Below are 18,004 nucleotides of genomic sequence, written 5' to 3'. Positions count from 1 at the left end.
CTCAGGAGGCTGAAGTGGGGGGATCATTTGAGGCCACGAGTTGGAGGCTACATTTAGCTGTGATCCCATCACTGCACCCCAGCCTGGGTGACAGAGCAAGACCCCATCTCAATAATAATAATAATAATAAATAAACCTAGAAAGAAGCAGATGTAGCCAGGCGCGGTGGCTCATGCCTATAATCCCAGCACTTTGGGAGGCTGAAGCGGGCAGATCACCTGAGGTCAGATGTTCAAAAACAGCCTGGCCAACATAGTGAAACCCCATCTCCACTAAAAAAAAATACAAAAAATTAGCCAGGTGTGGTGGTGCACACCTGTAATCCCAGCTACTCAGGAAGCTGAGGCAGGAGAATCACTTGAACCTGGGAGGCAGAGGTTGCAGTGAGCCAAGATCATGCCACTGCACTCCAGCCTAGGTGACAGGAGACTCAATTTCAAAAAAAGATGTGATCAAGAGTGAGTTGGGTTGGAGGCAGGGACTGCTCTGGATTAAATGGCCAAGAAAGGCCATGCTGAGGTGTAAACTGAGCCCTGAAGGAAAAGTATTCCAGGCAAAGTGCAAAACTCTGAGGCAAAAACCTCTTTGGAATGTATGAGGGAGGTTCAGGGAAGCAAGGAGGAGAGGAAAGAATCCAAGTCCCGAGGTACAGGAGAGGACAAGAAGTAGATCTTGCAGAGCTGCTAGTAAGCGGCATCCCACCTAACATTTTGAGGGCCAGAAGTAGCCACAGAGCCCCTCTCACGCAAGGGAGTAATGTCTATATGCTTTTTTTTTTTTTTTGAGACGGTCTCCCTTTGTTGTCCAGGCTGGAGTGCGGTGGTGCAATCTTGCCTCACTGCAAACTCCACCTCCTGTGCTCAAGCGATTCTCCTGCCTCAGTCTCCCATGTAGCTGGGACTACAGGTGTGTGCTACCACACCTGTCTAATTTTTGTACTTTTAGTAGAGACAGGGTTTCACCATGTTGCCCAGGCTGGTCTCAAACTCCTGACCTCAAGTGATCCGCCTGCCTCGGCCTCCCAAAGTGCTGAGATTACAGGTGTCAGCCACCGCGCCCGGCCTGATATACACTTTTAAGGCTCCGGGCTGTCCATGAGGATCAAGCGTGGAAGTAGGTCTACAGAAAAGGCTGCCGCAGTTCACCCATGACAGGTGATGACAGTCTGGACATAGGGAGGATGGAGAGAAGTCGTGCGCCCTGGCAGTATTTCAGGAGCCAACTAGTGGAGCCGGGACGCGAGAAATAGAGGAACCAAGAAGCCATAAGGAGGAGGAAGAGCAGCGGGTAGGTCAAGATGCCACAGCCGCAGGAGGGGCTGTTGGGGTCGGGGTTACCCCCATCCCTGTGCAGGCGGACTTGGCGTCTGAGGACAGAGTCCAGACCACAAGGATCTGGAGCTCAGGAGAGACTCGTGGGCCACAGCCCGAGAAAGCGCTGGGAATCCAAATACTATGGCGATTGGCAGTCGCGTAGGCGAGGCGGGCTAGAGACCCGCCCGGATTTAGGCGCGAGCCACCTCCAGGGGCGGGGCCCAGGCCGCACTGCGCAGGCGCGGCTAACCCGTTTCCATGGCTGCGAGAACTGACGCTCCCCAACCGTCCCGCAACTGTCCTGTCCCAGACTTTGGCACCGTCGGGGTCCGTCGTCCCCGAATGTGACAGCATCCCCACCCCGGCTGCTGCCCAGGATCCGCCGGACCCCGGCCTCGATATGGGAGACCTGGAACTGCTGCTGCCCGGGGAAGCTGAAGTGCTGGTGCGGGGTCTGCGCAGCTTCCCGCTACGCGAGATGGGCTCCGAAGGGTGAGGCACCCGGGTCAGGCGGAGTCCCGGAGTCATTGTCCTTGAGTCGGGGAGCTGGGGCCTGACTCGGGGGAGGGGCTGCCCAGTGTGGAGGGGCTCCCAAATGGGGGAGCAGAGCGTTCCGAGACAGGAGTATTACTGCTCCTGAGCCCCCTGTGTCCCCTCAGGATCAGGTTAGGCTTCAGTAGGATCCAGCCCCCATCCCCACTCCTAATGCACACACGTGGACGCACATGCACTTACCCTCTGAGGCAGGTGGAACCAGCAGCATGAGAACCTGGAGAAGCTGAACATGCAAGCCATCCTCGATGCCACAGTCAGCCAGGGCGAGCCCATTCAGGAGCTGCTGGTCACCCATGGGAAGGTACCCCGAGGTCACAGGCAGGGTTCCTGCCTTCCCCCATACCTCACCTACTCTACCCCTCCGGAGTCCCCTGTGTGCCCTTCCCCTCTGGCCTGGTACACCTGTTCTCCCTGAAGGACAAAGAGGAATGTGTTACATGTTTCATTTTGTATCCCTATTGGACAGGACTCTGGCACACCAGGCTGGGTGCAGGGCATGAGTTGATTAGGGAGAAAGCTGTAGGTCCTAGAACAGCTTAGGCTTCAAGGGGAAGGCCCAAATGCTAAAGGCATCTGTGAATTGACTGTAAGGCTGGTGGTGGGGAAGGGGTGGGGAGGGGTTGGGGAGGGCGGGAGGGAGGGGAGATAACCTAACTGGAGGTGGAACTTCGGCATGGAAGGAAGCAGCCTTCCCAACATGAAAGGGGGAAGTTAGAAACCAGGGAGATGCCTGGCTGGAACATGGACCAGGGAGTGTCACCAGCAGATGACCTGAGATATCAATTGACCAAAAAAAAAAAAAAAAAAGCCGGGCATGGTAGCTCATGCCTGTTATCCCAGCATTTTGGGAGGCCAAGACGGGTGGATCATCTGAGGTCAGGAGTTCAAGGCCAGCCTGGCCAACATGGTGAAACCCCACCTCTACTAAAAATACAAAAATTTGCAGAGCATGGTGGTGCACACCTGTAATCCCAGCTACTCGGGAGGCTGAGGCAGGAGAATCGCTTGAACCTGGGAGGCAGAGGTTACAGAGAGCCAAGATCATGCCACTGCACTCCAGCCTGGGTGACAAGAGTGAAACTCCGTCTCAAAAAAAAAAAAAAAAAAAAGAAAGGTCCTTTGCAAAAGAAAGATGGAACTCATACTAGGGGATAGGATAGGAACAGGGCACTGTGAAGGGTCCTGAGTAGGAGTGAGGCCAAGGCACACAAGAGCTTTGGAGGACCACAGACAGGGACTAGAGGGAGGGCATGAGGAGAAGGGCTGGCTTGAAAGGGATGCCTGAATGGGCGGGCAGAGGATAAGGGTGCAGGTGCAGGCAGGGCAAGGCAGTCTGGGAACTGGGCAGGAGCCAGTCACATAAGCATGAGGGACATCCACAGAGGTGTTGGGAGCAGCTGGTAATGAAGGTCCAAGGTGCAAGAGAGAAGTCAGGAAGGATACTCATGGGTCTGGAATAGTTTAGGGGCCCAGCAGTGTTTGGGGATATCAGGGTTGAGCTGAGCCGGGGATGGGAGGGTTGCCAGGCAAAGGTAGGCCCATCTCATCCCTGTCCTTTACCCTACCCTTCAAAGGTCCCAACACTGGTGGAGGAGCTGATCGCAGTGGAGATGTGGAAGCAGAAGGTGTTCCCTGTGTTCTGCAGGGTGGAGGACTTCAAGCCCCAGAACACCTTCCCCATCTACATGGTGGTGAGCTGGGCCCCTGGTTCATACCTCTTCTCACTCCTTCAGAGGGCTCTGGACCGGGGAGGAGAGCTGGTAGCCCCTATCCCTTCCTCAGGCCCTGTCCTTCTCTTTATCTGACAGGTGCACCACGAGGCCTCCATCATCAACCTCTTGGAGACAGTGTTCTTCCACAAGGTGAGGGACTATCTCTGCCCATGGGCCACAGTTCCGGGTCAGGGCCTGGCAGGAAGGGAGATTGTGTCTGTGTGGGGAAGGCATCAGACACAGAAAGTTTCCCTCCTCCTTTTCCCAGGAGGTGTGTGAGTCAGCAGAAGACACTGTCTTGGACTTGGTAGACTATTGCCACCGCAAACTGACCCTGCTGGTGGCCCAGAGTGGCTGTGGTGGCCCCCCTGAGGGGGAGGGATCCCAGGACAGCAACCCCATGCAGGTGGGTTGAGGTTACCTAGGGTTGTGAAAGCCTAGGTCTGGGTTCCCCAAGGCCTGCGCAGGTGAGGGTGGCCCAGCGTGAACACTGTGTGACCTCCCAGGAGCTGCAGAAGCAGGCAGAGCTGATGGAATTTGAGATTGCACTGAAGGCCCTCTCAGTACTACGCTACATCACAGACTGTGTGGACAGGTGAGCAGTCCGACTGGGCCTGGGCCTACTGTGGAGGGCTGGAAGACCGGGCCTGTAGCCTGCCTCTACTCACCTCCTTCACAACGTCCCTGCCCCTAGCCTCTCTCTCAGCACCTTGAGCCGTATGCTTAGCACACACAACCTGCCCTGCCTCCTGGTGGAACTGCTGGAGCATAGTCCCTGGAGCCGGCGGGAAGGAGGTAGGGTCCTCCCCCACCAGCCTAAGCCCCAGGCTACTGCTTCAGGGTATCTTTTTGATAGAGGGGGGCAGCTTGCACACACGAAGACAAACCCTGTCCCCAAGCCCACTGAGGATACCAGGATGCCTCAGCCAAGGTTGGCCTAGACCTGAGCTCTGCAGCAGGCCAGGCCCATGTGTCCACTACTGAGGCTCACCCTGCTCTGGGGTCAGCAGCCCTATAGCCTGGGCAAGTCCTGCAGCCCAGGTTCTCCCATTCCCAGGCAGTGGTCAGTCTCCCAGCCCCCACAGCTGGCTCACTTGAAGAGAATTCAACGTCTGCACCCAGTGTGCTGGTTCCTCTCCCCAGGCAAGCTGCAGCAGTTCGAGGGCAGCCGTTGGCATACTGTGGCCCCCTCAGAGCAGCAAAAGCTGAGCAAGTTGGACGGGCAAGTGTGGATCGCCCTGTACAACCTGCTGCTAAGCCCTGAGGCTCAGGCGCGCTACTGCCTCACAAGTTTTGCCAAGGGACGGCTACTCAAGGTCAGACTCCCTCCGCACCAGCCCCCACAGCCCCAGTACCGCCCTCCCCATCCTACCCCGACTGCGTCCCTGCTGTTTATCTTTGCCCACCCACCTCAACCCCAGTGCTCTTTTCAGTCCTTGGGCCTCAGGTGACACACCAGCTAGTGGGACATGGGCCCCCACAGGCATTCTCAGCCCAACCCAGCCCCTTCCTTTTCCTTGGCCCCCTGGCCAGCACCTGCATCACACTGGCCTCCACTGGACACCCTTGCAGCTTCGGGCCTTCCTCACAGACACACTGCTGGACCAGCTGCCCAACCTGGCCCACTTGCAGAGTTTCCTGGCCCATCTGACCCTAACTGAAACCCAGCCTCCTAAGAAGGACCTGGTGTTGGAACAGGTAGGCACTGGAAAGTTAGCTGCTCAGGACCACTGTCCCACTTTACCAGCACCTTCCTGCCACTCTCCACTTCTCTCTCCTAGATCCCAGAAATCTGGGAGCGGCTGGAGCGAGAAAACAGAGGCAAGTGGCAGGCAATTGCCAAGCACCAGCTCCAGCATGTGTTCAGCCCCTCAGAGCAGGACCTGCGGCTGCAGGCGCGAAGGTAAGGCCTGTGGAAATGGCAGGGAGGGTGGAGGGGATGCAGGAGGCATGGATGTGGGTGGGGTGCCCCCACCTTCCAGGGCCAGTCAGACCTTCCTGACTTTCCCCCAGGTGGGCTGAGACCTACAGGCTGGATGTGCTAGAGGCAGTGGCTCCAGAGCGGCCCCGCTGTGCTTACTGCAGTGCAGAGGCTTCTAAGCGCTGCTCACGATGCCAGAATGAGTGGTATTGCTGCAGGTGAGGGTATCCTAGAACCTTGGACCTCTAAGCCCTACTCCCACATCCCCCACATGCATTGCCATCCTCAATACCCACCTGCCTGCAGGGAGTGCCAAGTCAAGCACTGGGAAAAGCATGGAAAGACTTGTGTCCTGGCAGCCCAGGGTGACAGAGCCAAATGAGGGCTGCAGTTGCTGAGGGCCGACCACCCATGCCAAGGGAATCCACCCAGAATGCACCCCTGAACCTCAAGATCACGGTCCAGCCTCTGCCGGAGCCCCAGTCTCCGCAGTGGAGAGCAGAGCGGGCGGTAAAGCTGCTGACCGATCTCCCTCCTCCTCACCCCAAGTGAAGGCTCGAGACTTCCTGCCCCACCCAGTGGGTAGGCCAAGTGTGTTGCTTCAGCAAACCGGACCAGGAGGGCCAGGGCCGGATGTGGGGACCCTCTTCCTCTAGCACAGTAAAGCTGGCCTCCAGAAACACGGGTATCTCCGCGTGGTGCTTTGCGGTCGCCGTCGTTGTGGCCGTCCGGGGTGGGGTGTGAGGAGGGGACGAAGGAGGGAAGGAAGGGCAAGGCGGGGGGGGCTCTGCGAGAGCGCGCCCAGCCCCGCCTTCGGGCCCCACAGTCCCTGCACCCAGGTTTCCATTGCGCGGCTCTCCTCAGCTCCTTCCCGCCGCCCAGTCTGGATCCTGGGGGAGGCGCTGAAGTCGGGGCCCGCCCTGTGGCCCCGCCCGGCCCGCGCTTGCTAGCGCCCAAAGCCAGCGAAGCACGGGCCCAACCGGGCCATGTCGGGGGAGCCTGAGCTCATTGAGCTGCGGGAGCTGGCACCCGCTGGGCGCGCTGGGAAGGGCCGCACCCGGCTGGAGCGTGCCAACGCGCTGCGCATCGCGCGGGGCACCGCGTGCAACCCCACACGGCAGCTGGTCCCTGGCCGTGGCCACCGCTTCCAGCCCGCGGGGCCCGCCACGCACACGTGGTGCGACCTCTGTGGCGACTTCATCTGGGGCGTCGTGCGCAAAGGCCTGCAGTGCGCGCGTGAGTAGTGGCCCCGCGCGCCTACGAGAGCGGAAGGGGCAGCCAAGGGGCAGCGCAGTCGCCGCGGGTCAAGTCGCGGCAGAGGGGGTCGGCGGGGACAGCTCCCGAGGACTAGGTCCGTTACTTTCGCCCCATCGCTGAAGAGTGCGCGAAAATGGTTTATCCCTTGTCGCACTCCACTCGTATCTGGGCCACAGATGAGCAGAGGTGGCTGCTTATATGTAAAAATACGCTGATTTTAAGTTTCTTATCTTTAAAATGCCTTGGCCCTTCTTGAGAAAGGGTTTGTGCCTACTGTCCTCGGAGTCCATCTTCCCAGGCTTGCCTCTTCTCAAACACTCATGACCCCCTCCAGAACCTTTAGGGTGAAGGGAAATTACCACCTATGGGAGGGAGCCTGGAAAAATTTAGAACCTTTGGTGGGCCCCCTGCAAGCAGGAGTTTTGTTGAGTCTTTATTTAGCAAACACCCTTTTCTGACCCAGTGAATCAGATGCTAAAATATGCACGCAGCCACACACCCAGCAGTCCTTCTGCACCCCTGGGAATCGCCAGCAAGCAAAGGTTGCTCTCCCCTGGGTAGACACCAGCTGGAATCACCAGGGGTGCTTTTACAGTCCTCCCCGCTAGCCTGGATCCCACCGCAGACCTGTTGAATCAACTGCTGGGAGTGGACCCTAGGCATCAGTAAATTTTAAAAACTCCCCAAATTATTGTAACATGGAGTCTGGGTTGAGCATCACTGCTCTGGCCTATTTAGGAACTTGTGGATGGATAGTGTCCCAGGTCTGTGTGTGCATGGAGACCCTCTCATCCGGTACAAGAGGACATCACAAATTCAGCTGGGGGGAGCACAAAGTTGTGACAGAATGCAAAGAATGAACAAGGGGCCGAGCGCGGTGGCTCATGCCTGTAATCCCAGCACTTCGGAAGGCGGAGGCGGGTGGATCACCTGAGGTCAGGAGTTCAAGACCAGCCTGGCCAACATGGTGAAACCTCATGTCTACTAAAAAATAAAAAAAAATGAGCCAGGCGTAGTGGCGGGTGCCTGTAATCCCAGCTACTCGGGAGGCTGAGGTGGGAGAATTGCTTGAACACAGGAGGCGGAGGTTGCAGTGAGCCGAGATCGTGCCACTGCCCTCCAGCCTTGGCGACAGAGTGAGACTCTGTCTCAAAAAAAAAAAAAAAAAAAAAAAGAACAAGGCTGGGACATTGCAGCGTTCTCAAAGAGAAATAAAGTAGCCATGGAGATAAGAAGCAGGATGATTTGGGCATGTTTATCAGAGGTAGAGACAAGGGAGAAATCAAAGATAAGTTTGGGCTTTTGTCTCCAGTAACTGGGAGCCTAGTGGCCATTTTTGCTGCAAAGAGGAAGCTGGGCAAGTGTAGCAGTGAGGCTGAAGAAAAGGGAATTAAATTTTGGCCATGTTCACTTGAAACGTCTTTTAGACATCCTAGTGAAGGTACTGGCACGGAGGATCTAGTCTGAGGGTTTAGGTCAGTGTTTCAGCCGTGGATCTGGGGCAGATGAATGTAGACAGACCAGGCCAGTGATCAGGACTGAGCCCAGACTTCATCGTGAGATATGGAAGTTGAGTCAGAATCTGCAAAGGAGCTGAGCAGGAGCTGCAGGGGGTAGGAGGAAAACTGGGAGAGTGTAGCCCCTGGGAGTCAAAGGGAGCAAGCTTCAAATGATGCTGAGGGGGTGAGAATGGAGAATGGAACACTGGATTCCATTTGGTAGTACACAGATCGCTGAGGACCCTGTCCCGGGCAGTTTCCTGGAGGAAGAGGCAAGCCTGGCTGGAGTGGGTAGAGGGGAGAGTGAAGGCGAAGGATTAGAGTGTATAGAGACCAGTGTCTTGGTCTGAGGGGAGTAGAGACAGGTGACAACCACAGGGCAGACGTAGGTTAAAGGTGTTTAGTTTTTCCTTCAAGTAAATGGGCAGATGTATTCCATATACGTTCCCAGTGAAGGGCCGGGTGCGGTGGCTCAAGCCTGTAGTCCCAGCACTTTGGAAGGCCGAGGCGGGTGGATCACCTGAGATCAGGAGTTTGAGACCAGCCTGGCTAACATGGTGAAACCCCGTCTCTACTAAAAATACAAAAATTAGCTGGGCATGGTGGCGGGCGCCTGTAATCCTAGGTACTCAGGAGGCTGAGGCAGAAGAATCGCTTGAACCCAGGAGGCGGAGGTTGCGGTGAGCCGAAATCGCGCCATTGCACTCCAGCCTGGGTGACAAAAGCAAGACGCAGTTTTTTGTTGTTGTTTTTTTAATTGCCAATGAGGAAAGGGGAAGTTCTGTGCTAGGCGATAGAGATCCAACTGTTGAGCAGGCCTCTCTGCCTGTGGCCTTCCGGCCGGTTTCCAGACGCCCAGGTGGCCAACATTAGAGTCCGCGTAGCAGTGTGAGGTAACCCACTGAGATAGGTCGGGCCTGCGGAGCCTGGCGAGCAGCGGCCCTCTCCCTGGGGCTTCCCTTCAATCTCCGGGACATTTCCCCGACCTGGAGCTCCTCCGCCTCACCGCCAGGCCTCTCTGCAGATTGCAAGTTCACCTGCCACTACCGCTGCCGCGCGCTCGTCTGCCTGGACTGTTGCGGGCCCCGGGACCTGGGCTGGGAACCCGCGGTGGAGCGGGACACGAACGTGGTGAGCGCGGGGCCGAGGGCGTATGGGAAGGGCGAGGATGGGCAGGCCACAGTGCAGGCATTCTCGAGGGCTGCCTGGGTGCCGCGCGCAAGGAGCGTTCTAATTGCCGATTTCCCGGCGGCACAGAGAGGCTAATTCTGCGCGGGGGCTGGGAGGGGAGCCTGGATTGCCGGCTCCGCAAGTACTCCACCCGCTGCAAGCGGACCCGGGCCCAGGCTGACCCAGGCTCCGCGCACGCGCACTTCCCGCACCTTCCCGCCCTCGCCTCCGGCCAGAGGCCACTCTTGTGCGCTTGCCCGGACGCTGGCACCCGCCCCCGTTCCCTGTGGTAGGTGGGGTCTGTGAGTGGAGCTCCGGAGCGATGAGGTCATTCCTGGGGGCGAAGCGTGCGTGTCCCCGCCCCGGCGTTCCTGCCCCAATGAGACAAGAGCTAGATCCCGGCGATCTACGTTTCAGTCTTAACGGTTGCGGCGCGGCTCTGGCCCGGGCGCACGCGCACACTGACACGCGTACACGCACGCACGCGACCGGGGCGGTGGTTGGCGGCTACGGACGCGCAGGACTGGGGGACGGGCGGGTACGGCTATGGGCGAGGCGGAGGCGCCTTCTTTCGAAATGACCTGGAGCAGCACGACGAGCAGTGGCTACTGCAGCCAAGAGGACTCGGACTCGGAGCTCGAGCAGTACTTCACCGCGCGAACCTCGCTAGCTCGCAGGCCGCGCCGGGACCAGGTGGGAGCCAGGGGGTGCCGGCGGGCGGGAGGGGAAGCGGTCGCTGGAGCTCCGCCCTCCCCGGTCCGTTGCCGCGTCCTGGGTCGGTGGGCAGCCCCACCCTCCTGGCTACGTGGCTCCCCGCGGGTCCTGGCCGGGGACCTGCCCGCGGAACCGTGCGTAAGACCCCGATTCCACCGCCTAGATGCTGGGTGCCGGGGCCCCCTTGGTTTCTGTCACAGACAGGTTGAACACGGAAAAAGCAGCTGTATGGCTTGTGGTAGACCTGAGCCGGGCATTATCCAGCTATGACTAAAGCCGACCGAGCAGTTTGGACTAGCACCTCGATTTCCGCGTTCGAATGCTCCTGCTCCCTCCTTGGGGAGACTAGGGGAGGATGTGGAGAGGGAAGAGTCCTCGCCAGGAATTGAGAAGTATGTTTAGGAAAACTTGAGAGGCAGAGAGAGATCCTGCTCCTCCATCTGCACTCCTGTATGGAGCCAGCTGAGCCCTCACCTCTTCCCTGTTCTGGCCTGTCACCAGCTGCTGGAATGTGGAAGATTCTGTTCCCTTCCTCTAGGGTGGATCTGGAGAAAGATTTGGGAATAGATAGGAAAGAAGTCTTGTTTTGGACCATAAGCATTCAGGAGCACTTTACCCACAGGAAGGGGGAAAGCTAGATTATAAAATGCCTAAAGAGGTGGAAAAAGAGATCCAGGTTACTAACCCAGGACTGTAAGGTGTCTCGGAACCTCCTAGGTATCCCCATTATCGGAGAACTGTGTGCCAGATGCCATTGGTGTGACCACCAGGCTCAGAGAACCAGGCCTAGGCACCAGGAAAAAGAAACAGGGACTGTGAAGCTCAGTATGCCTGGCAGAAATGGGGCGGAAATCCTTATTTAAGTAAAGAAAGTGGAGTTGTGAGTGATGCTTCAGATAAAATTTTACAAAATTCCTTACAAAATGGGTGGTGCTCAGCACGCCAAAATCTTAGCCCAGAGCTTGGGTGCAAGGGTTGAGTTGAGTGTAGACCCCTGGGCTTGTCTTCATGTCAGTCAGTCCTGAGCCATTTTCCACTGTGGAAAGGTGGGAAAACCACAAGACACTAACCAATTGAAAAGGAGGGCTAGCCACGGAGGTGCACACCTGTAATCCCAGCTACTTGGGAGGGTGAGGCAGAAGGATCACTTGAACCTGGGAGGCAGAGGTTGCAGTGAGCCAAGATCGTGCCACTGCACTCCAGCCTGAGTGACAGAGTGAGACTCTGTCTCAAAAATAGAAAAGGAAGCCAAGTACGGTGGCTCACACCTCTAATGCCAATGCTTTGGGAGGCCAAGGCAGGTGGATCATTTGCAATCAGGAATTCGAGGTCAGCCTGGCCAACATGGTGAAACCCTATCTCTACTAAACATACAAAAATTAGCCGGGCATGGTGGTGTGTGACTGTAGTCCCAGCTACTTGGGAGACTGAATCACTTCAACCGGGAGGCAAAGGTTGCAGTGAGCCAAGATCGTGCCACTGCACTCCAACCTGGGTGACAGGGTGAGGCTCTGTCTCAAAAAAAAGAAAGAAGGCTGGGCTTGGTGACTCATGCCTGTAATCTCAGCATTTTGGGAGGCCAAGGCAGGCAGATCACTTGAGGCCAAGAGTTCGAGACCTGCCAGGCCAACATAGCAAAACCCCGTCTGTACTGAAAATACAAAAAAATTATCTGGCCATGGTGGTGTGTGCCTGTAATCCCAGCTACTGGGGAGGCTGAGGCAGGAGTATCACTTGAACCCAGAAGACAGAGGTTGCAGTGAGTCGAGACTGGGCCACTGCATTCCAGCCTGGATGAGAGAGCAAGACTCTGTCTCAAAAAAAAAAAAAAAAAAAAAGAAAGAATAGGAGGCTGAGAAGTCCCAAGTTATATGTTAAAAAAAAAGAAAAAAACATCAGTTTTAGGCCAGGTGCAGTGGCTCACACCTTTAATCCCAGCACTTTGGAAAGCCGAGGTGGGTGGATCATGAGGTCAGGAGTTCAAGACCAGCCTGGCCAAAATGGTGAAACCCCGTCTCGACTAAAAATACAAAAAATTAGCCAGTTGTGGTGGCAGGCACCTGTAATCCCAGCTACTTGGGAGGCTGAAGCAGAGAATTGCTTGAACCCAGGAGGCAGAGATTGCAATGAGCCAAGATCGCACCACTGCACTCCAGCCTGGAAAACAGAGCGAGACTCTGTCTCAAAAAAAAAACCATCAGTTTTTATGGACAGTGGTAGAGTGGAGGGTGGGTCCCTATGGTGCAGAAGGGAAATTCCATGGTCCTGCTGTGCATCCGACTGGGATGGCTGTTGAAATCCTCTTCCAGCAGGCAGCTTTGGAAACAGAAAAAGAAACTCTTCCTCCTTTAGAATCCTGGAAGGGCTGTGCAGTGCCTCTAATCCAAGTCTGTTTTCTGAGTGAAGATAGGGAGGTTCATCACCAGAAGGGAAGGGGCTGGAAATGAGGTCACTGCATCCCAGCCCAGGGCTCCTGGGTCATCCAGGAAGGGAAGAAGGAGCAAGCTTTCTCATTGTTAGGTAGGAGCTCAGAGCCATCACAAGAACAAGTTAGCACCATCCCTGTGCCCTCCCTGTTCTGCAAACAAAATGATCTTCCTTCTTGCCCTGGCACTAGAGTCTGTCTGGCATTTCTCCTGCCCCTAGTACTCCTCCCATCTGGGTACTTCTTCCCGTTGGTGTACTGAACAAACACATCCACTGCTTTATTCACAGCCTCCAGCCCTCATTTTCCAGGGCCCACACCATTTGTTTTTACTAACCCGACAAGGTTGCCCACTGTCCCCAGTAAGGTTTGTACTGGGGTTTTTACTCCAGTGCTCTTCTCCATCCAGGAGACCTTTGGATACTTGGGGAAGAAAATGAGCTTAAATTCCCACCCCTCCCCCTTTACCTTTTTCCTGTAAGGCCCTGGCCTTAGTTCTTAGCCCCACATCCTTGCTGGCTGCAGAATAGCAGCGGGTTCTGGGTAAGGAGCATTCTGCTAAAACGCTCCACCCTGCTCCCTCATCTGTCCTCTCCATTTGTCCCCATCAGATGGTTTAAGTGCTTAAGGGGACTCCAGGGCGGAGTCAGGGAGAACCCTGGCTCTCCTGGGCTAGGCACAAGATCATTCTACAGGAAACCTTGTGGGAATTCTTCTGGGACAAAGTATTGGTCAGCGCTGAGCTTAGCTGTGTCTGTGACACTCGCATTCTAACTAGGGCCTATCTGACGTCAACAGGAAGTAAGGCTGATGCAGTGGGGCCAAGGGAGTCTGGGAGAAGAAAGTCGGTTCAGAGCCCTGGCTGCCCTGTCCCACACTCCACCCTTCCGGCAAGAATCCAGTCCCTAGATGAGGTGGGGAGTGAGTGGTCGAGTTAAAAATCTCTGGGTCGGGTACGATGGTTCACGCCTGTAATCCCAGCACTTTGGGAGGTGAAGGCAGGCGGATCACTTGAGGTCAGGAGTTCAAGACCAACCTGGCCAATGTGGTGAAATCCCATCTCTACTAAAAATACAAAAATTAGCCGGGTGTTGTTGTGGCACGCGCCTGTAGTCCCAGCTACTCGGGAGTCTGAGGCAGGAGAATCGCTTGAACCCAGGAGGCAGAACTTGCAGTGAGCCAAGATCCAGCCACTGCACTACAGCCTGGGCGACAGAGTGAGGCTTCGTCTCAAAAAAAAAAAAAATCTTTGGGCCAAATCTCCAGACAGCACAGGCAGGTGCAGAAACCCACCAGGAAGCTGCCTGTGTACCTCTGGCAGATTGGAGCCTGGCCTAAAGCTGCCTTTTATGCAGCTTGGGTCAAGGTTAAACATCATGTCACAGTGATTTTTCTCACTATGTGTGAGACATGGAGAACTGGCTCCAAGTACTACTCTGTCCACTGGTGGCTGGACTACTGATGTGCACCACTCTCCACTCCTCTCACCCTGCAGTGGGTCATGGCCCCGTGCCGGGGCAGAGGAGAAAAATGGGCTGCCTTCTCCAGGACAAACCCTCACTCCAACTCAACTAGGGTGCTGTGATCAGAATGTGCAATTGAGGTGTGATTTTACTGATTTTTTTTTTTTTTGAGACCGAGTTTCGCTCTTGTTGCCCAGGCTGGAGTGCGATGGCACGATCTCAGTTCACTGCAACCTCCACCTCCCGAGTTTGAGCAATTCTCCTGCCTCAGCCTCCTAAGTAGCTGGGATTACAGGCATGTGCCACCACGCCTGGCTAATTTTGTATTTTTAGTAGAGACGGGGTTTCTCCATGTTGGTCAGGCTGGTCTCAAACTCCTGACCTCAGGTGATCCACCCGCCTCGGCCTCCCAAAGTGCTAGAATTACAGGCGTGAGCCAACGTGCCCAGCCTGTTTTTGTTTTTTGTGTTTTGAAGCAGGGTCTCACTCAGTTCCCCAGGCTGGAGTGCAGTGACACGATAATAGCTTACTGTAGCTGCAATCTCCCGGGCTCAAACGATCCTCCCACCTCAGCCTCCTGAACAGTTGGGACTACAGGCACACCACCACACCTGGCTAATTTTTTTTTTTCTTTTTTTAGTAGAGATGAGGTCTTGCTATGTTGCCCAAGCTGGTCTCAAACTCCTGAGGATCAAGTGATCCTCCTACCTTAGCCTCCCAAAATGCTGGGATTGCAGATGTGAGCCACCACACCCAGCCTGATTTTACTTTAAATGAGAGTCCCTCTTCAGAGTCCCTCAGCTGTTCCTGGCCCCTGGCCATGTGCCTTCAGTTGCCCCTGCTTCTGTGGTATCCTTAAGGCTACATTCAGTGCTGAGGCCCTAGGCAGGCAGCAGAGAGAAGCCAAATGATTCTGTCTTTCCCTTATCCACCCAGAGCATGCAAAACCAGGAGCAGTGGTGGGTTCAGGGTGGGCACCAGCTATGTATATGTACATCAGGGACAGGGGGCCAAAGGCAGTCAGTTTCCAAAGACTGCCCCAGAGGCCATTTTTCAGAGAAGCCCTGGGTTCCTCAAGGGCCCTGTGTCCATGCTGGCCCATCTTGCAGGACGAGCCTGTGGAGTGGGAGACACCTGACCTTTCTCAAGCTGAGATTGAGCAGAAGATCAAGGAGTACAATGCCCAGATCAACAGCAACCTCTTCATGAGCTTGGTGAGTTGACTGCTCAGGAAGGGGGCGTGGGGAGGAGCAGGTACCCAGCTATGTGCCTGATACTCAGAGGGTCACAACTGAGGTTATCTTGGGTGGGCGCAAGCAGTAATTTGTGCATACCCAGCCTAGCCCCAAGTAGACTGACATCTCACCTGGAACCTATTATCAAGGTTTGGTTTCTCTATTTCTTTAGAACAAGGACGGTTCTTACACAGGCTTCATCAAGGTTCAGCTGAAGCTGGTGCGCCCTGTCTCTGTGCCCTCCAGCAAGAAGCCACCCTCCTTGCAGGATGCCCGGCGGGGCCCAGGACGGGGCACAAGTGTCAGGCGCCGCACTTCCTTTTACCTGCCCAAGGATGCTGTCAAGCACCTGCATGTGCTGTCACGCACAAGGGCACGTGAAGTCATTGAGGCCCTGCTGCGAAAGTTCTTGGTGGTGGATGACCCCCGCAAGTTTGCACTCTTTGAGCGCGCTGAGCGTCACGGCCAAGGTGGGCTTCCCACCCCACCCTGCCCTATGTGAGGGTATATACGCATGCACCTGAGCATGCAGGGGCTGAGCAGCTGGCCCTGTCTCTGATCATTACTTCCCCTTCACAGTGTACTTGCGGAAGCTGTTGGATGATGAGCAGCCCCTGCGGCTGCGGCTCCTGGCAGGGCCCAGTGACAAGGCCCTGAGCTTTGTCCTGAAGGAAAATGACTCTGGGGAGGTGAACGTGAGTACATAGTTCTTAGTTTCTTGGTTGTCACTAGACAGGACTGATGGGCTGTAGCTACAGTAAGGCTTGGAGGAGGAATTGTGCTGGAAGACAAGCCCTGCAAAACAGTTCCAGGAGTGTATAGGCATTGTAACTAAAGCAAAGGCTTCCAGACCACTCATGCCAAAGCCTAGGGTTGTCCCAAGAAGCCAGGAAGAATTGCCTTGGTGCTTTGATCTTTCCTGGTGTGGAAAATCTTCTGGAGATGCAGGAGTCCATCTAATGACATGAGGAGGCCCCCTTCAGACTTTTTACCTGGAAGCTTTCTGGCTCCAAGGTATTAGGCCTGTGGAGTGAAATTAGACTCAGAATATGCCTGACCTGTCCACAGGTAATTGGGGAACATCTGACTTGGTTGTCTCAGTAAGGTGACCGTTTTGTAGGGCCCATCTTCCATACAAACTGCTGTCAGGGATCCTACCAGAGATCATTCAGCCAAGAGCCTGACATCAGAAAGCCCAGTCCTAGCTTGTGTGAACATGAGGTGCTAGTCTTCTCTGGGGAGGGTCTGCTGGCTTGGCCATCCCTTCTGCAGCCTGTACACTCCCCTTTTGCCCCTTGCAGTGGGACGCCTTCAGCATGCCTGAACTACATAACTTCCTACGTATCCTGCAGCGGGAGGAGGAGGAGCACCTCCGCCAGATCCTGCAGAAGTACTCCTATTGCCGCCAGAAGATCCAAGAGGCCCTGCACGCCTGCCCCCTTGGGTGACCTCTTGTACCCCCAGGTGGAAGGCAGACAGCAGGCAGCGCCAAGTGCGTGCCGTGTGAGTGTGACAGGGCCAGTGGGGCCTGTGGAATGAGTGTGCATGGAGGCCCTCCTGTGCTGGGGGAATGAGCCCAGAGAACAGCGAAGTAGCTTGCTCCCTGTGTCCACCTGTGGGTGTAGCCAGGTATGGCTCTGCACCCCTCTGCCCTCATTACTGGGCCTTAGTGGGCCAGGGCTGCCCTGAGAAGCTGCTCCAGGCCTGCAGCAGGAGTGGTGCAGACAGAAGTCTCCTCAATTTTTGTCTCAGAAGTGAAAATCTTGGAGACCCTGCAAACAGAACAGGGTCATGTTTGCAGGGGTGACGGCCCTCATCTATGAGGAAAGGTTTTGGATCTTGAATGTGGTCTCAGGATATCCTTATCAGAGCTAAGGGTGGGTGCTCAGAATAAGGCAGGCATTGAGGAAGAGTCTTGGTTTCTCTCTACAGTGCCAACTCCTCACACACCCTGAGGTCAGGGAGTGCTGGCTCACAGTACAGCATGTGCCTTAATGCTTCATATGAGGAGGATGTCCCTGGGCCAGGGTCTGTGTGAATGTGGGCACTGGCCCAGGTTCATACCTTATTTGCTAATCAAAGCCAGGGTCTCTCCCTCAGGTGTTTTTTATGAAGTGCGTGAATGTATGTAATGTGTGGTGGCCTCAGCTGAATGCCTCCTGTGGGGAAAGGGGTTGGGGTGACAGTCATCATCAGGGCCTGGGGCCTGAGAGAATTGGCTCAATAAAGATTTCAAGATCCTCCTGCTGTTGGAATCTTTTATACATATAAAGTTTTTGTAGAGACATGAGTCTCTCTGTGTTGCCCAGGATCCTCCCAACTTGGCCTCCCAAAGTGTTGGGATTACAGGTGTGAGCCACCCTGCCCAGCCTGGACTCTTTATTATTATAGGCGCAGAGCTGCAGTTGCCCCTCATGGTGCCAGAAGTTGCCAAGGGTGATGGACAGGCTCCCAGGTGTCTTGCAAAGTCACCATGGACCAATTTGTGAAGATGTAGTATGCATACATACTTGGTCATCACTCAGCTCCCTGGGGCTCAGGTTGTGGTGGAGACAAAAATGGACTGCAGTTAGAACTTAGGGAAACTGGCTGGGCATAGTGGCTCACACCTGTAATCCCAACACTTTGGTTGGGCTAGGTGGGCAGATCACTTGAGGCCAGGAGTTCGAGGCCAGCCTGGCCAGCATGGCGAAACCCCATCTCTACCAAAAATACAAAAAAAATTTAGCTGGGCGTGGTG

At 55.5% G+C, this 18,004-nt stretch overlaps 2 protein-coding genes and 1 long non-coding RNA gene across 11 annotated transcripts, besides 15 other annotated features; 2 read left to right on the top strand and 1 right to left on the bottom strand.

Moving 5' to 3' along the window:
• Positions 1,149-1,699: an enhancer, noted in NCBI's record as "H3K4me1 hESC enhancer chr3:50383025-50383575 (GRCh37/hg19 assembly coordinates)". NCBI's record gives its function as "activates a minimal SCP1, AML or CMV promoter by ChIP-STARR-seq in naive H9 embryonic stem cells {active_cell/tissue: H9 hESC(naive)}" and the evidence as "EXISTENCE:reporter gene assay evidence [ECO:0000049][PMID:30033119]".
• Positions 1,266-1,455: an enhancer, noted in NCBI's record as "active region_19904". NCBI's record gives its function as "activates an Ori minimal core promoter by ATAC-STARR-seq in GM12878 lymphoblastoid cells {active_cell/tissue: GM12878}" and the evidence as "EXISTENCE:reporter gene assay evidence [ECO:0000049][PMID:35858748]".
• Positions 1,536-1,615: a silencer, noted in NCBI's record as "silent region_14396". NCBI's record gives its function as "represses an Ori minimal core promoter by ATAC-STARR-seq in GM12878 lymphoblastoid cells {active_cell/tissue: GM12878}" and the evidence as "EXISTENCE:reporter gene assay evidence [ECO:0000049][PMID:35858748]".
• Positions 1,561-6,181, top strand: ZMYND10 (zinc finger MYND-type containing 10). 3 transcript variants are annotated; one of them, NM_015896.4, is made up of 12 exons: positions 1,561-1,805; positions 2,061-2,169; positions 3,443-3,559; positions 3,677-3,730; positions 3,849-3,986; positions 4,087-4,175; positions 4,275-4,375; positions 4,724-4,896; positions 5,153-5,278; positions 5,362-5,483; positions 5,594-5,719; positions 5,808-6,181. In NM_015896.4, exons 1-12 carry the CDS (start codon positions 1,714-1,716, stop codon positions 5,881-5,883), a joined length of 1,323 nt encoding a protein of 440 aa, NP_056980.2. In that variant the 5' UTR covers positions 1,561-1,713; the 3' UTR covers positions 5,884-6,181. The 3 variants fall into 3 exon arrangements, with proteins under 3 accessions (NP_056980.2, XP_005265273.1, NP_001295308.1); XM_005265216.4 differs by lacking the exon at positions 2,061-2,169; NM_001308379.2 differs by lacking the exon at positions 4,275-4,375 and having other exon boundaries at positions 4,638-4,896.
• Positions 1,700-2,250: an enhancer, noted in NCBI's record as "H3K4me1 hESC enhancer chr3:50382474-50383024 (GRCh37/hg19 assembly coordinates)". NCBI's record gives its function as "activates a minimal SCP1, AML or CMV promoter by ChIP-STARR-seq in naive H9 embryonic stem cells {active_cell/tissue: H9 hESC(naive)}" and the evidence as "EXISTENCE:reporter gene assay evidence [ECO:0000049][PMID:30033119]".
• Positions 3,978-4,560: an enhancer, noted in NCBI's record as "H3K4me1 hESC enhancer chr3:50380164-50380746 (GRCh37/hg19 assembly coordinates)". NCBI's record gives its function as "activates a minimal SCP1, AML or CMV promoter by ChIP-STARR-seq in naive H9 embryonic stem cells {active_cell/tissue: H9 hESC(naive)}" and the evidence as "EXISTENCE:reporter gene assay evidence [ECO:0000049][PMID:30033119]".
• Positions 5,706-6,528: an enhancer, noted in NCBI's record as "H3K27ac-H3K4me1 hESC enhancer chr3:50378196-50379018 (GRCh37/hg19 assembly coordinates)". NCBI's record gives its function as "activates a minimal SCP1, AML or CMV promoter by ChIP-STARR-seq in naive H9 embryonic stem cells {active_cell/tissue: H9 hESC(naive)}" and the evidence as "EXISTENCE:reporter gene assay evidence [ECO:0000049][PMID:30033119]".
• Positions 5,706-7,352: a biological region, named in NCBI's record as "H3K27ac-H3K4me1 hESC enhancers GRCh37_chr3:50377372-50378195 and GRCh37_chr3:50378196-50379018".
• Positions 6,198-6,717: a silencer, noted in NCBI's record as "silent region_14395". NCBI's record gives its function as "represses an Ori minimal core promoter by ATAC-STARR-seq in GM12878 lymphoblastoid cells {active_cell/tissue: GM12878}" and the evidence as "EXISTENCE:reporter gene assay evidence [ECO:0000049][PMID:35858748]".
• On the top strand, positions 6,457-17,505 carry RASSF1 (Ras association domain family member 1). Of its 7 annotated transcripts, none has more exons than NM_007182.5 (6): positions 6,457-6,737; positions 9,282-9,388; positions 15,139-15,243; positions 15,437-15,734; positions 15,844-15,959; positions 16,566-17,505. In NM_007182.5, the coding sequence occupies exons 1-6, from the start codon at positions 6,488-6,490 to the stop codon at positions 16,710-16,712; spliced, it is 1,023 nt and encodes a 340-aa protein (NP_009113.3). In that variant the 5' UTR covers positions 6,457-6,487; the 3' UTR covers positions 16,713-17,505. The 7 variants fall into 7 exon arrangements, with proteins under 7 accessions (NP_009113.3, NP_733832.1, NP_001193886.1 ...); NM_170714.2 differs by having other exon boundaries at positions 9,270-9,388; XM_047447372.1 differs by lacking the exon at positions 6,457-6,737 and adding an exon at positions 8,087-8,199.
• Positions 6,529-7,352: an enhancer, noted in NCBI's record as "H3K27ac-H3K4me1 hESC enhancer chr3:50377372-50378195 (GRCh37/hg19 assembly coordinates)". NCBI's record gives its function as "activates a minimal SCP1, AML or CMV promoter by ChIP-STARR-seq in naive H9 embryonic stem cells {active_cell/tissue: H9 hESC(naive)}" and the evidence as "EXISTENCE:reporter gene assay evidence [ECO:0000049][PMID:30033119]".
• Positions 8,919-9,008: an enhancer, noted in NCBI's record as "active region_19903". NCBI's record gives its function as "activates an Ori minimal core promoter by ATAC-STARR-seq in GM12878 lymphoblastoid cells {active_cell/tissue: GM12878}" and the evidence as "EXISTENCE:reporter gene assay evidence [ECO:0000049][PMID:35858748]".
• On the bottom strand, positions 8,993-9,782 carry RASSF1-AS1 (RASSF1 antisense RNA 1). Its single transcript, NR_109831.1, has one exon. It is a non-coding gene; the product is annotated as an RASSF1 antisense RNA 1 (long non-coding RNA).
• Positions 9,089-9,348: an enhancer, noted in NCBI's record as "active region_19902". NCBI's record gives its function as "activates an Ori minimal core promoter by ATAC-STARR-seq in GM12878 lymphoblastoid cells {active_cell/tissue: GM12878}" and the evidence as "EXISTENCE:reporter gene assay evidence [ECO:0000049][PMID:35858748]".
• Positions 9,089-9,747: a biological region, named in NCBI's record as "H3K27ac-H3K4me1 hESC enhancer GRCh37_chr3:50374977-50375548".
• Positions 9,176-9,747: an enhancer, noted in NCBI's record as "H3K27ac-H3K4me1 hESC enhancer chr3:50374977-50375548 (GRCh37/hg19 assembly coordinates)". NCBI's record gives its function as "activates a minimal SCP1, AML or CMV promoter by ChIP-STARR-seq in naive H9 embryonic stem cells {active_cell/tissue: H9 hESC(naive)}" and the evidence as "EXISTENCE:reporter gene assay evidence [ECO:0000049][PMID:30033119]".
• Positions 9,819-9,998: a silencer, noted in NCBI's record as "silent region_14394". NCBI's record gives its function as "represses an Ori minimal core promoter by ATAC-STARR-seq in GM12878 lymphoblastoid cells {active_cell/tissue: GM12878}" and the evidence as "EXISTENCE:reporter gene assay evidence [ECO:0000049][PMID:35858748]".
• Positions 10,069-10,378: a silencer, noted in NCBI's record as "silent region_14393". NCBI's record gives its function as "represses an Ori minimal core promoter by ATAC-STARR-seq in GM12878 lymphoblastoid cells {active_cell/tissue: GM12878}" and the evidence as "EXISTENCE:reporter gene assay evidence [ECO:0000049][PMID:35858748]".

This window comes from Homo sapiens, chromosome 3 (genome assembly GCF_000001405.40).
Source record: "Homo sapiens chromosome 3, GRCh38.p14 Primary Assembly".
NCBI lineage: Eukaryota > Metazoa > Chordata > Mammalia > Primates > Hominidae > Homo > Homo sapiens.
The sequence above is the reverse complement of the archived record's forward strand: the minus strand, read 5'-3'. Positions and strand labels throughout refer to the sequence as shown.